A 16,254-nucleotide genomic window follows, 5' to 3' on the forward strand; every position below is an offset into this window, starting at 1 on the left:
AAAAAAAAGTAGGAAAGAAAGAGGAGGGAAGCAAAGAGAATGGGAGTCAGGAGATATGGCTGTTTTCTGTTGTCCTCCTATCAGCTACTCCACTAGACATACTTTACTTAGGACCCACTGAGACCCTGTAAGATAAAGAAGCCTTGTCTACAAATGGCGGAAAATCAGTGCTGTCTGTAAGTGATTGAGGCAAAGGAGAGCTGCTCATTTTTCTCCTTGGTGCCTATGCACTGAGCTACCATTTGCCTTTCTGGATTCACCGGGAAATAGAGGCTCAGGACAAGCATAGCTTAGACATGATTGAAATCTCTGTCTAGCTTTCATTGTTGTTGGGCATTTCTGCTCTGTCCACTTAATAATTGTTCATCTGGCTTGCCTCTTGCTTTTGATTGTGTTTAGGTGACACATCTGCATAGTAGAGGGTGCAATCTCTTTTTAGGTTCTTGTGGTTTAATTGGGGAGATGGGGTAAATACAAAATGTAACTACATTTTAACCTTTCGGGAAAAGGTTGTTACCTGCAGCTGTGGTCATCAGGGCATCTGGGTGGTTGGAAGAGAGCTGCATATGTGAATTGGAATGCAGGTATTAGTGTACGGATGTAATTTCTAAGGAGGAAGAACATCGCAAACAGAGCGATGCGGAATAATGCCTGTTTTTGGGACTGTTGCCTGTTGTTCCACCAGTGTGGAGGTCTACTGTTTGGTGACCTGGAAAGACCTGGGCACGAGAAAGAATTCTAATAACAGAATAGGAACCTGTTGATGATTTTAGATGTGGGAGTAAGAGGAAATGCGTCAAGTTCTGAACGATTCCTTTGGTAGCAGACTAGTCTGAAATAAAGGAAAAAATTATTGTATTCAGAGAGTTCCATCCAGGCAACAGCTGATGTGAACCTGAACTTGAGAAGCTACAGTGGCATAGCTTTTCCCAGGGGCCTGCAGAGGCGGGGGTGAAGGTAATTGAATAGGAATTAGGAATGGGTTGATTTGTGGAAAGGTAATAACTTTATAATCTTTTGAGTTTGTGTTGATGGTGAGAGACAACCGAATTATTGAGAATACACCAGGAATTTATCATTTTGGAGCTGCTGCTTGAAGCCTCCTGAATAAGTAAAGTTTTTGAAATATAATATGGATAGAAAGGAAACCTCTGGAGAACTTTTTCTTGTGAAGGAATTTAATTTTCTAGGTTTCTTTTTGGTTTAATAGAGATTGAAGAGTGAAGAAATATGAACAAAACATGGAATTACCCTCATCTGTTGTCTTCTGCATGGCTGTATGATAGAAATCTGTTTCATCAGTGTAGTATCGGATTGGGTCCTTTTCATAAGTTGTTTTTCACCCTTTTATGCTGATTGGGCAGGTGAATTTATCTGACGTCTTGATCAGTTGAGTTAATCCCATGTATACTAGTGCAGTTGTACTGGGGTTGCTAACTCCTTTGTTTTCCAGAGTGTTTGAGCTTGATTTAGAGACATTGGATTCACATGCTGATTTTTCTCATGGATTCAGTTTTTAATGTTAAGAATCATCATCTGCATGGATCTTAGGTATGTGCAGGGGCAGTGACTATCTGGCAGCATGTTACATGGAGCATATGAAAGAAGGGGATGGAATGAGGGTGAAGGGATAGGCTGAGCTCTCACCTAAAGGAGGGCATAATGATTCTACATTGACCACTGTCATTGCCACTAGGAGTCAAGGAAAGTGTAACTATCTATAGATACATATCTCTGTGCATTTACACAGATGAACTTCTGAGTTTCAAAAATCTTAGGAGATTCTACTTTTTCATTTTTTATTGTTTAAAATTTAAAATTTTATTTAAAAATTTTTTTAATTTTAAAATTAAAAATTTAATGCCTGTTAATTCAGATATTTCCAGGAACAGTGTTGGGATTTTTTTGTCCCCTCATGAATTTTGATGTCTCTCGGTGAGGGGCTGGTAGGATAGTGTGAATCCTGGCTCCAGGCTGGGAAGACTAGGTGGAATGAGTGGTCTTGGGTAAGCACCGACACACCCACCTCCTACTGCTGTTTCTGAGTTGTGCCCTTGCCCTCCTTGCTGTCCCTCTTCCGCCCTGTCTCTTCTGTCATCCTTTCTTTTACAATAGAGTCACAGCATCAGATAGAGGAGCTGCAGGAAGCATACCCAAACCAGCTGAGCTTAGTAAGGGGACTAACTTCACTGAAATGTACAAACCTTTCTGTGCTTCCTTTTCTGAGACTTGTAGATAACCAAACTGAAAGGCCTTTCTCACATCCCTGAGCAGCTGGCTTATAATTTTAATTAGATTGATGTCATCTGTGATTAGGCCTGCCCCCAACCTCCAAGTGTCTACCATTTTGATTATGTCGTATTTGAATTGTGAATGGGTTTTCTTTGATTTCAACCCAGCAGAGTCCCAGAACTACCATCTTGGGAGAAGCCATGGGGCTGTGCAGTCTGTTTGCCTGCACCTGAACTTCAGGGGAAGTTTGGTGGGGGGATTGTTGCAGGCCCAAGAGACCTGTATTTAGATCTGTCCAGACTGCAGTCCTTCTTGCTGTCCCATTCTGTTGTCCAGAGTCACCAGCCATTTCCCTGTTCAGTCTGTGTTAGGCCTGCCCGTTCCTGAGCAGGCACTCACTTCCTGGGCATGTCCCTCTGCAATTTAATTCATTGCTCTTCAGCAGCGTCATAGGGAAGTTTGAATCTTATTTAGTCTGAGGTTTTCTTTCTATTGCTATGCCTGGGCATTTTTTAGATCTTAACCTGGTCAGAAAAATTCCATTTCCTGTGCAAGTCAAAGAGACAAGCACGAAACCAACTCCACTAGAATTTTTCCTACAGAATTTGTGAGTTTTTAGCAAATGTGAATACCCGTGTTAGGAAAGATTTCATATTTACATGTTCCCGAAATTGCTGTATTTGTGGAGGATTTGGAGAGAGCTCAAACTCATTTTATTGTGATAAGTGCTGAAACATAATCATAGAATCTTTGCCATGTTAACAGTGGTGAATGATATTAACCATTTATGGAGTTACCTTTTCTCTCCTAAATCAAATAAGATTAACTTCTGTATAAATGAGAAAAATGTAAGCCCCTGTGCTGACGTAAGCGCTCTGAAAGATAGCACAGATGAACACGGCAATAGGATCTACCCACAAGGAGCTAATGGGAGATGATGTCTCCTGGCACATCTGTCAGAAACGTCAGAAGACATTCAGGTCTTTACGTGTGTTTCTCCTGATGAAACAGGTTTCAGTGTCTCATTCATCTTTGTCATTCCCTGTCACTTGGTGATGCTACCTGGGTGACTTGTCTCCCTTGTCTTCTGATGTGCGTGCCCCCCCCCCCCCCCCGCTTTGTGTCCTGCCACCCACCTCACACCCATATACCAAGGTCCTTAAGAGGGGGGTGGTGTGATCGTTGGGGCTCCATTAAGACATTTTGTAGTTTTTGTGTATATTTATGGGTTTTATGTATTTGTTGTCCCTTTGTAGGCATCCGAGTACCAAGTCTTTTGTGAAGTCATATGAAAAGAAAAAATCCCCACAAGCCACTACCTGGGATATAGGTCTCTGCAGAGTCCTTCCTGCTGTTGCCACATGGCTTGAATGGCCTTGGAAGCCAAAGAGTAACAATCCACAGGATGTCAGTGCTTCCTTATGACGCCAGTGGAGGGAATGGAATAAAGCCAGCTTAGTAATATACAGGCCACTTGGAATGCTCCTCCGATTTCAAATGACCCGGGGGAACATGGTGGTTTCGTGAAACCAAAGTCAGCTTTGAAGAAAGCTAATGTCAGCCTCAGGTTCAGGCAGTACTGTAGAAGAACACTGAGCTCTCAGTAGCTGGCTAGCTGTGCTGCCTTCCCCAGTCTATTTCACATCCGCTTTTATATCAAGGCAGATGACAAGGAAACAAACTGACGTCAGTTTATTAAAGGAAACACTTGTGATATTGGGAGTAATCCCTCAGGCAAGAGGTGCTAATTGAACCTAAGAGTATTTCTGAAGTTACTATTTTCAACAGTAGAGAAGGAAATTATTGATCATCTCATCCAAAATTGATAAAAACCTAAGTGTAGCAGTCTTTCAAAATTAAATATTCTCAGCTGTGGAATATTCTCATGCCCAACATTGCTACTTCCTCAACCATTTCTAGATGATTAAAATTACACTGTAATGCCATGTTGCTCAATATGCATATTTGTTGTCATTTTTGTCTGTTCATTTCTTAGGAATGTCTTTGCCACCATCGAACAGTCATCAGGAACTTAGTTGCATGCCTTTTTTTTTTTTTTTTTAGCTACTCGTTAGCTTGTGTGTTCTTGGGCAAGGTATTTACTTAGCTTCTCTGATTCTTAATTTCTACTTCTGTGAAATCAGCATGATAGAGTAGATTAGCATTAATTTGTCCAGTCATTGATTCATTTATATCCCAGCATAAGGAAACAATGAGGCTGTATCATGGGCAGCAGTAGAGCCATTCAGATCTCTAATGGTGGATGCCAGCCATTGTTATATGTTCAAGGAAAATGACATTTCCAAGATCACTATTCAGCTGGGTGAAGGTTCCCAACTAAAATTTTGTCCCTGTAATCCATTCTTCTTTCCCTGAGATAATAGTGACTTGTCCAGATTAAAACTTTTATATCCCACCGTGTCTTCAACCCCATTTACATTGCTATCTATACTTTGTTTTCTTCATTCTTTTATAACCCTTAGGAAAACTGGTGTACTGTTGCATCCTCCAAGCAAAGGCTGAGTTGCTGAAAGTCAGTAATAATCCCGGTTGACACCAGTCGTTTACACAAGAATCCTCCAAGTGGTCAGACTGCTGGGATCACCTAGAGCTTTGTTTTCATGTGTAATAAATACAGATCAAATGTTGGCAACAGTTCCCATGGCAGCTAAAAGTTCTTTCCTGCAAAATTTCACTGAGGTCCATTTCTCTGTAAGTTTAGAGCGGAATTCCTAGAAATTTCTTATAATGGGATTTCATTATGAGTATCCATCAGTCATCAAAGGGAGTATTTATTTAAATGTGACATAATATAAAATGAAACAGATCTTCCTATAGAGGGTTCCTTGCAATAAAAAGGCAATCAGGCACCAGTGCCTTGCAAATCTAATGAAGCTTGGAGCTCTGCAGGTGCAGGTGCTGTCAGAAAAGAGGTTAGCAATTTTCTGAACCTGAAGAAGGCCTCTTCTGAACTGCAGACAGAGGAAAGAGTCCTGGAGAGCACCACATCTCAGGCCACATCAGGTGCTGTGGAACTGCCAGGGAGGCCCAGGTCCTCGCTTCGCCGTGCAACTAGCATTTTCTCTTGCATAATCGCCTACCACCTGTTCTTCAACATAAACCCACTAGCCCCACATTGTGCCATGAGACAAGGCACCTGAGCCAGGCCGTGCTGCACCTGCGACCTCAGGAAGCTGTGATGCTCTGCCCTTACCCCTGTTCCCTGATTTTGGAGTGCCTTGGTGAATAGAAGCAAAACACGAGCTGTGCTTTTAGATGAAAATAAGTTCTCTGGCTGCATGGAAAGAACGGTTTGGATATAGTTAGTTAAGAAGGTGAGAGCTCAGTCTTCCCTCCTCACACCTCAGTTTTACTCCCTCATTTTTTGAAAACATTCAAATATAGAGGCAGATGATCTTCGTGTCCTTTTGGTTTCTGACTTGGGTGAAGAAGGCACAGGTCTTAAAATAGGTTTTCTTGCAGGGAGAACCTGGGTGAGGGCATCACGATTGTGTATTCAAGCAACTGCTCAGAATTGTTAATCTTTCACAAGCGAAAGGGGAGAGCAAGCTGGTTGTTTTGTGACTTTTCCATTACAGGGTATTTCTCTTATCAGATTTGTGCTTTTCCCTATTTTGTATGCTCGAGCTGTTGAGGCGTGTCAGGAAATCTAGCAACATCTGTATCCTCCCCAGAGGGATCACCCCTGCTGAAATGTGGGGAGATAAACACACAGAAAACAAAAGTATGGAAAACTGATGCTTTACCACTGGGGTGGGTTTGGCCAATATTTTAATTAGGCCACATTTCAAGGAGAACAGCTTTATTTCAGCAGCTAGCTGAAGAACCTAGAACCCAGACTGCCAGGGGTGTCCTGTTTCATCTTGTTTCTCCACAAAAGAGCAGAGTGGCTCTGGTCATGGAGCCGGGACCTCTGGCCTCATGGCAGAGGTGGCAGGAGAGGACACACACACCATCCACAGTGTCCTGCCATCAGCTTCCACATGGGCCTGAGACTGTACCCTTCTTCCTCCGAGCAGGAGTCCTGATGCCAGTAGTTTCCTGCAAGAGCCTGCTGTCCCCAGGCAGATGTTTTGTTTTGCAAACATTACACAGGACTCTAATGTGCTCATTTGTAATCCACTGAACATCCTAATGGAAATGGATTTATTAAAATATATAATCTGAAATGATTTGGACAGCATCACATGAGCTTTTAACCTTGGGTTAGCACTCAAGGGTTACAATAACAATGCTTCCAGCAACTTCTATTTCAATAGCACATCAGAGTTTCCAAAATACTCTTCCATATACAGAATCTCAAATGATTCTAAAAATGGAGCCCTTAGGTAATGACTATTTGGAAACCAAATAACACAATCAGAACACTGCTTCATGGGTATTTATATTACAAGTTGATATTTGAGATGCCTAGATTTTTCTTAAGCTCTCATAATTGGTTATTTTTTCCAGGGGGTAAGTGAGGTAGACTAGAGGAATTAATAAATGCCTTTGGAATGAGTTTACCTTGGCTTTTTGAGTGCTTTGAGGAGGAGACCTTGGTGAAGGCTTGTTGCTAGGTCAGCTGCATGTGTATCTTTTAAATGCTTTTTATAACTTAAAAACGGAAGGAAGAAGAGTGGCTGTTGTTTCTTTTGTGCATATCGTTTTCTGAAGAGGGATGTTTCTCAGAAGACTTTTTAAACAGCATGTCATTGGACTCCCAGCTGGAATGACTTAATTGCTTTTAGATTCATACCGGGGGCATGTTGTGTAAGGGCCAAAAAGCAATCATTTGGACGAGTTTATCACATTTCTGCTCTGTGGTTGCCTTTGAGGGGCATTGAGCCCTCTCTTTGTCTGGGCGGTGGGGTGTTGGGGTGTCGGTCATGCATCAGGGTCAGGAGCTTGCCATAGCCCTGCTATGTTCAGTGGGGACAGACACTCTGTAACAGACAAATGCCGCCTCCCCGCCCCCGAGAGAACATGTGATATTCTCTTTACCTCTTTTTAACCTCTGGTAGCTCCATTTTTCCTGTTGAGACAAGTGACTATTCCAAAAAGTTGGAATATGGGATGGGAGTGTTGGTTTTTTTTTTTTTTTTTTTTTAAGAGCTGTAATACATGTAGAGAGACCAGTTATACAATGTATGTTTCTAACCACCCCCTTTACGCATTTGGGGCGGTGTTCCTTAGAGGCCGTTGGGTAGGATGGTTCAGAGCATCATGATTACAGCACTGACACACTTATGGCTGCAACCTTAGGATTTTTCTGTTTTAGTTTTCTTATCTCTGAAGAAGAGATCATAGGTTTTGGCAATAACTAAATGAATTGATACATGTTACAACAGTTAATGTTAGAAACTGCTGTGTTGCATATTATCATTAACATAATGTGATTGAAAAGATCTGGTGCCTGGAACAACCTTATAATTGCTAGGAAAACTCGAGAAAGTTTATGTATCTCAAATGCCTGGGGCACGATGAGGACTGTCAAAGAGTCAGCCATTACCCTTGAGTGTTGTGACATCATCAGCCTCGCCAGAACTATGTTGTGGGCTGTTTCAGTGTGGTAGAAGGTCTTGGTAATTCCTGTGTCAGGATTATCATCCTTTCCCTGTTTCTTCTTGCTTTGCTAAAGTATTTATTTGTTCCACTGGCCTCGTAGGGCCTTAGTGGGGGATATAGGCACACACTTCGGGATAGTTGGCCCATGCCCCATGAGTTTGGTGTTGTTACCTTCGTAACTCTTTCTGTGACAGGCAGCTAGAAGATGGTGTATCTGGTGGTGGAAGAGAAGCTCCTGGCTCTGATCCCTCTTTTTAGCCTGGTGTCAGGGCTAAAAAGATTATTTAGCCTCTTTAAGCTTTAGTTTTCCTCCTTTGTAAAATTATATTACTAATACCTGACTCGCAATGCTGCTTGGGGTTGTGGGGGAGGATATGTGAGGGTGGGGTCACTACTCTCAGGTATGGATGCAGAACCCACAGATAGAGAGGGCCGACTGTATTTAGTTTTTTCGTGCTAATGTTTTTACTTTGAAAATGACCAAGTTGCCTATAACTTGTATAGTCAATTGTGTCAATGGGATGCGTTCTGGTCTAACTCGCATGTGCATATTTAAGGGTGTTTCTCTCTCGGTGTGTAGTAAACAGTTTACAAATTCCTTACTCAAATCCAAAGGTGAGCCAGAACTCTTATCACTGACTTCAGATGTGGTTGGCCTGTTTTAAATCATTATTTTTGGAATTTAGGTTTTTTGTTTTGTTTTGAGATGGAGTCTCACTCTTGTCACCTAGGCTGGAGTGCAATGGCGCGATCTCGGCTCACTGCAGTCTCCACCTCCCGGGTTCAAGCGATTCTCCTGCCTCAGCCTCCTGAGTAGCTGGGATTACAGGTGCCCGCCACCATGCCCGGCTAATTTTTCTACTTTTAGTAGAGATGGGGTTTTTACTGTGTTGGCCAGGATGCTCTCCCGAGCTCAGGTGATCCGCCTGCCTCGGCTTCCCAAAGTGTTGAGATTACAGGTGTGAGCCACCGTGCCCGGCCGGATTTAGGGTTTTATGAAACCCAAAACTGCAGAAACATTTTATTCGTGTGTTCTTTACGAGTTAACGCCATCCTTTTCTGAGTGTAACCTGCAGTTCTGTGCTCTTGCCTTGATTCTTGCCAGTGATAAAGCACGAGAGCCTTGCAGACCAACTGCCTGTTGCCCCGTAAGGCCATTTGTCCAGCTGTTCCTCCCTTACCATTAACGCAAACATTTTAGAGTGACTGATGCCCACACAGGCCGCGGGGCTAGTAATCATCAGGTCTGCCATCCTTTCCTCAGCACTTTTGGGGGCCAAGAGGGCCAAGAAGCCATTTTTCAATGACAAAAACCATTCATCCTGATTTATGGTCTTTCTGTTGTCCTGACCTTTATATTCTCATAAAAGTCTTTTAATTTTAGTGTCGTATGTTAGCAGGAATATATGTAAGAAATTTGTGTAAAGGGCAGATATATCCAAGTCTGTTATTTTATCATTGCACATAATGCATTCACACTTGGAGATCATGATGAGAGTGGCAACCAAGTGGTAATTGGTGGGAAAAATATTACAGAATTTAAGTTCTTCTATAGAAAAGGAAGAAGATGTGATTGGCTTTAAACATTCTATTTCCAGATATCTGTTATAATTGTGATCAAAGTGAAAGAGATTTCATTGTGTGAAAGTTCCAGAAGCGTTTTACAAAGCCTGTAAACCAGTAGAATTTGCTTATGATACTGGAGTTTCGGAGTACAGAGGCAGCATCCCAGGTTGACGTTTGTTCCCTGTGCGAGTGAGCTGCTGGCTGGATGCAAGGTGATAATGGGGGTTTTGCTCACCTAAGCTGTGTTCTTGCAGCTTTCCCTAGTTTTACACGTGGATGGTGGAGCTGTTTTGGCCCAGGGCAAACCGGGTTACAGCACTCACACATGCTACATTAAAATCCATTTGAACTGTTGGCACAGGTTGGCAGACATTCCATTGTTTTCAGACAATAGTGACTCAAAGTTGAACTGGCTCCAGGGAGCAAGTGTGGCTTTTGTACAGTAACAGGGATTTAATGCCAGCCAATTGACGGAGTCTGTGTCTTGCCCAAGGAAGGGATGCCTTGTAATGACATGAAGCGTACATTTAAATATCTGGCTTGAGATCAGAAACTTGCGGTGGATCTCTTTTCCCTTGCTTAACACATTTCTTCTTTATTTACAGTGATTCTTTTTTTTGCCCCTTTCGTTTGTTTTGGGGTGTGGACAGGAAGAAGGTATTTTAATTTGGGGGTTAGTTCGGTCCCATCTTCAGGGTCTTCTTTTCCTTTGTTGCCTTGCTAGCAGATGTTTCGGCTGACTTTCTGTAATGGTCCTTGTCTGGATTTTTCTCTTTCAAGGAGGTTAGGCCTTCTGAACTGTATTATTTCAGGTCATACACTGCATAATTCCAGGATATCTTATAACTTTTGCTGGATGCCAAGTAAGGACTCCTGTTTCATACACATCTAATAATCTAATAATACACATCAGGATTCCCTCTTGTGTTTGGATGAGGTGCCTTTATTAGCATGGGTAATTGGCAAGATAGGGGCGTCTGGTTCTGGGAGGCGCTTGGAGACAGGTAAAAGTAGAAGGCCAGCTTTGTCAGCTTTCTCTAAAAATTATATTTTTCACATGTGGATCTTTGCCATTGCAGCAAGAGCTTTCGAAAAGATCATTCTTCTTATATTTGCGCAACTCCTTTCTCTGAAGAACGCAAAGCACTTATATACTTTATTCAAAATACTTCAGCAAGTCCTGGAGGGCGGATAAGAGGAAGCAGCCAGCTGGTCTGTAGTTCAGGGAATTGAGGCCCAAACGGGGTTGGTGAGCAGAACTAGACATCAAAATCAAGAGTCTGTGCATGGAGTGAGGGTATTAAAAACCTTGCGATCAGTTTCTCATAGGGCTGCCTTCCTTGAGGGTCTCTTCCAGGAAACTTGTGTCAGCATCTAAATATGCGAACAAAGCTTTTGGGGAACATTGTTTAGGACAAGCTCCCTGGAGGTATAGTTGTGAATTCCCCTAGGAAAGTGTATCTCTCTGCCTTTCAAATTGTTACAGGATTGCTATTAAATATGTTTCTAAAGTAACTTCTTTTGCCCATATCTTTTTCATCCCTCATTGGGAGCAAATCTTACCTTCTCAGGGATGAGGTGACCCTAAATCAAAATAATAGCCTTTGGATTTAAAGATTTTGCCTGCCGTGGTGTGAAAACACTTTTCTATAGGCCGTTTAACTTTCAGAGTATGTGTATACAAATCAATATATTTGTCTCTGTTCGTTAATGTAAAGCTATTTGTATCTGAGTACAATACAATTTCCTAATATGGTTCACAGTGATGAATGCTTTTTTTCTCTCCTTAAAGAAACTAGTCCAATTATTTCTTTTAATTGGGGACAGTGTGTGGAGGACTTCTATACATTGAACTTTCTGTCTTTCTCTCTCTTATGTTCACAGGGTTTAATCTTTCCCTGTGAGAGTGAATATTTTTTTTCCTTTCCTCTTCTCTCCCTTTCTCAAATCTTACAAATTAAGACAAAAGATAATTACTTGGAGGAGTAAAACTGGCAGGTTCCCACGACACTTAAAATTAATGAGCTGTTGAGTACAAAATATACCTTGTCTTTGGCTCTGTCGGTGTTGCCCAGTCCTCCCCCTGCCCCCTTTACTTCCCGTTTAACACATGATTTGACTTTCTGGCTATGTTTGCCATTTGGGTATATCGCTGCTCTAAAACAGCATGATGGTTACAAAAAGTGGGTTTGGTTGGAAACCTTCTCTTTGTTTGCAAATGAAAGTTAATTTGATTCAGTTTTTAATTTCCGTATGTTTGAAAACTCTTCCATTTCCAGATATCTCATCAAAATATTCTTTAGTAGAGTACCTTGCTGAAGTCTTCAGGGCAGCCAGTTTATGGTTCACTATGTTAATTTCACCTGCCTCCCTCTCGTCTCCGTTTCCCCTTTCCTATAATCCTGGTACTCACCGCTTTGCTGTCCATAGTATTTTCCTGAGCAGTAGGTTTTGTGACCTCAAAATACAATCAAAGAGTTGTGCATCTGGTTTCAGGTACGGATACTGCAATGAAGGATCTGTTTTTTTCAGATAAGAAAGATACTGCTGACTAACCACAGTCACACTCTTCAAGTGTCTGTGAAAGTCCCAGCTTAGCAACTGGCCTTGCCCTGCCAAGTGATTTATCACCGAACAGGTGACTCCTGTCAGTTTTTATGTGACACATCAAGCTTCTTGAAATCATCATGTAAGGAGTAATGGAACAGATGATCTGGCCCCAGGGTTTCAGGCATTTTGAATTCCAGACCCCTTTCTACTTTTAGAAGTTATTGAGGGACCCCAAAAGGCTTTTATTAATGTGGATTATATTTATTAATATCAGCTTTAATTCTCATATCTACCATATTAGAATTAAAAGTTAAGACACTTTAAGATATTTATTCATTTAAAAAATGACACAAACCAGTTACGTGTTAAACACATATAGCATTTTTTAATGAAAAATAATCATAGTCCAAAACCAAAAACTTATTAAGAGTTACATTATTTGACCTTTTTGTTAATCCCGTTAATGTCTTACTAAGTAGGATACAGCCATATTATGATTGCTTCTGTATTCATCTCTTGAGTGTTGCAGTACATAGTTTGGTTGATGTATATGAAGAAAATCAGCTTTGGATAAATATGTATGTACATGGGAAACGGTCTTTGTAGATGATTTCAGTACTTGATAGGATAGTAGGCTCTACTGGTAGTTTCCTACAGGTCAGTTGCTCTGGGAACCTGTACCTGTATCAGTGAACTTTTCATACTGTTACATTAATATCCATTGGTTTGTCTTTTTCTTTGAATGGACCTTTAACCCATGCACTGTTTTGTAGCATCCTATGTTGTTCATTTGAAAATAATGGTTCAGTGAGTTCTTGTTAGCACCTTTGGTAATGAACAAGGGTACATCATCAAAGAATTTCTGTCGAACTCATGATGGCAGATACTGGTTTTCTGAAATTCTAATTTTTGCCTGAAAGCATGAATTCTGTCATTGGCAGCAACGACTATTAGTTACTTTCCTTGAATAGACAGGCTTGCTTTGTTCATTTTTGAAAAAAATCTAGTAACTAAGTAAAAACTACAAATAACTAAGTCCGAAGAACTATAGTGTGTTGGTCCTTCTTGAAATAAAAACAACATCCTATGAAAAAGGGGCTAGCCCAAAACTTGCACAATCACACAAGTGCTTTTCCCTAGAGATGATCATTGTATTTCTGTATATAGGAGAAGTGCTTTATGTGTAATAGCATCTTGTCACACAAAGTATGTGTGCTCAGGGGCCATGATTCAGTCATACTCACTGTTTGTATGACTTTATCAAGGTCATTCTTAAGTGAAACTGGCTGTTTTTTTTTTTTAACTGCTACTAATCCATGGTAGGGATGAAATGCATATTAGACTAGTGTATAGTAGTTTGGTGCCATTGCCTTTGTTTATGCTAAAGTACCCGTGATTTCACCCATATTTTAAAAATATATTTTGTTGAGATAAAATTCACACATTATAGAATATACCCATTAAATGTACTGTAGCATGTATCAATACTTGATTTCCTTTTTATGGCTAATACTTCATTGTATGGATATACCACTTTATCTAAATAAATATCAGTTGGATCTTCGGTGATTTCCCCCAATTTTTAACGATTAGTAATAATTCTGCTGTGAATATTTGTGTGCAAGTTTTTATGTGGACATATTTTTTATTTCCCTTGTGTACATTCCTGGAAATGGAATTGGTGGGTCATATGGGAACTCCTACGTTTCTCCTTTTGAGGAGCTATCTGAAAAGGAGAAACCATTTTGCATTTCCGCCAGTAGTGTGTGAGGGTTACAGTTTCTCCACATCCTTGCAATCAGTCATCATTATCCATCTTTATGATATGACTTTACATCCTAGTCGATGTAAAGTGGTGTATCTCATTATGGTTTTGATTTGCATTTCCCTTATAGTTAACCTACCATTTTTCGTGCCATCAGTGCAGATGTCTATCCATTGTAAAGGCAAATAATGTCTTTGTATTATTATGAAATAGTTTCGACCCTAGCACATCTCCTGCAAGGGTTTCTAGGTCCTTGAAGGGTCTGTAAATCTCCTTTGAGATCCACTGATCTGACCATACGTCGCTAGTGGAAAATTGGGATGTGTTTTCAGTGTTGTATTTCTTTTTGCTCAGGCAGGTGATTAGCTACTCCTCTTTTTCCCATGAAAGTGATACTGGCAAGTGTTAGGAGGCACCTGGCTCTGCTGGACTTTGTCCACAGACTCTCAGTCATGGTCTGGCATGAGTAGGAGACGTAACAGGCATGGTCAGTGTGGACAAATTAATGACCCAGAGGAGTAGGAGGTTGTATTGGGTCTTGCTGAGACCAGTGTTTGTCTGCATTGAAGCCCTTCTTTATACTCTGTCTGCAGGGAGGGATATGAGGCAAAAAGAGATTTGCCCACAATCTGATTGTGCAGTAACCTGAGATGGCCCTTTTAAACATGCAGTGATAGTGTCTCCCAAATACTGTGTACCTACTGAACCCCAGACATTGTGGTAGATGTTCTACCTACCGGAACATCTGCTATTCCCCAGTCTATAGATGGGAAAACTGATGATTAAATAACTTGCCCAGCTGCAAACAACAGAGCTGGGAATGAGCTGCAGATAATGTTTTGAAGGGCGGGAAACCCATATAGTAATATTTTGTTAAGTGAATAAAGAGAAGTAATTATAGAACTGGTGCTTCTTTGTAGCAGGCCTCACCATGAGACATGTCTTAATGGCAGGAAAAAGCACAGAGAAGTTTGGAGGAGTATTGGAGATTAAAAAAAAAGCAACTACTTCCTATGTTTTAATAAGCTGTGTTCACTGCTTTAGAAAATTGGTGAACAGTCAAGAATTGCCTAGATTCATGTTCCCTTGGCTTGATTTTTAATCACATTGAAGTATGACTTCTTACGGATGTTGCTTTTAATTTGTCTTGAAAGCTAGCACAGATACTGCCAGCTTGGGCATGATTGATGGTTTCTGACAATGGGTAGTTACTTAGAATAAATGCCAGCCATTTGAAACTCTCCATTTTCTGTGTTAACTGAGAGTATCCAGTAGAATCTTGTGCAACGTCGGATTGTATCCCATATTTTGACGTGGCCTGGTCTTTCCTTCAGTATTTTAAAATCTATTAATCACTGGTGTTGGAAGGAACTTTGAGATAAAGGCTCACAACCGATAATCCAGATGGGGATAATGGAGATCTCCATCTTATACCATGACAATTGGACTAAAGAATTAAATCCAAGCAGTTTAATTAGAAAACAATTAGAAGGAAACTTAGAAGATTATTTTACCGTTTGAAAGCATGGGTGGTGGAATGGAGAAATGTTGATGAAAGGGTGCATGCAAAGTTGGTTTGAAGGGAGAGAGAAAATCTGGAGATCTACTGGACAGCCTTGTGACTAGTCACTAATAATGTAGTGTATACTCAAGTTGCTTATCTTACATATTCTTAGCACAAAAGTATATAAGGGGATTGGGTGTGGTAATTAGCTTGATTAATCACTTTATACATGTATTAAAACATGTCATACTGTAAACGTACCATTTTAATTGTTATACTTTCATAAAACTGGGAGAAGATATACGGAAGGGTAGGTTAAGCACGAAAGCAAGAAACAAAGAAATTTGTTAGCAGATTTGGCACCACAGCAAATGAAAAAGTAAACGGCAAAAGAGGACAGTATTTGCAATTTATAAGACATTAATATAATTTAAAGGACTCTTAAAATTCCATGTGAGATTGAATGTTGGGGAAAAGGGAGTTTTCAGAAAGGACAGACAGGTAAGATGTTTAGAGGAGGAAAGATTTGATTTCCCCTTCTGCAAGCCAATAGGAAGAGATTTACAACTCAAAGGAGGAATAATTTTCACTTTCATCTGCTGCTGTGGGGGTGAGGGAATTCTACCTGAAGTTCTGCCAGTCCTGGTTGGGGTGGGGATGGCCTGGAGCTGCTCAAGTGCCAGATGCATGAGTGGACACAGTAACCTTTTGAAAACTCCCTCTGGCAGGATGATGGCTAAAAGATCACTATAGCTTCCCCTTGCTGATCTGCCTAAAGGCAACCCAGGAACAGGGTGTGCTTCCTCCTTCCCTGAAGAAACAGGCCCTGTTTGGACTGTTTGTGGGGAGACAAGGCCTGTGGGTTCCAGAGAAATGGATGTGAAAGTCTCGTTTATTCCATGGGGAGGGACTGTAAAGCAGAAGGATAAACCCATAACGTTGGTGTTTCTGGTTTTCTGTAGAAACCCCAAGCATCCCTGTTCTCTTTTGAAGTCTCTGCCTCATGGGTAGGAAGCACCATGCTCACTGGAAATTCTCACTTGTAGCCACCTGGGGTTTGGGGTGGATG

The 16,254-nt window shown here is 41.0% G+C and overlaps 1 protein-coding gene across 20 annotated transcripts in view, besides 1 other annotated feature; it reads left to right on the forward strand.

Moving 5' to 3' along the window:
* JARID2 (jumonji and AT-rich interaction domain containing 2) overlaps positions 1–16,254 on the forward strand; it is a 275,974-nt gene that overhangs the window by 224,115 nt on the left and 35,605 nt on the right. The gene's annotated exons all lie outside the window — the stretch shown is intronic.
* Positions 3,254–4,453: an enhancer, noted in NCBI's record as "BRD4-independent group 4 enhancer chr6:15473668-15474867 (GRCh37/hg19 assembly coordinates)". NCBI's record gives its function as "activates an origin of replication core promoter dependent on BRD2, P300/CBP, MED14 and CDK7 cofactors, and independent of BRD4, by STARR-seq in HCT116 cells {active_cell/tissue: HCT116}" and the evidence as "EXISTENCE:reporter gene assay evidence [ECO:0000049][PMID:35650434]".

Source organism: Homo sapiens, chromosome 6, assembly GCF_000001405.40.
Source record: "Homo sapiens chromosome 6, GRCh38.p14 Primary Assembly".
Taxonomy (NCBI): Eukaryota; Metazoa; Chordata; class Mammalia; order Primates; family Hominidae; genus Homo; species Homo sapiens.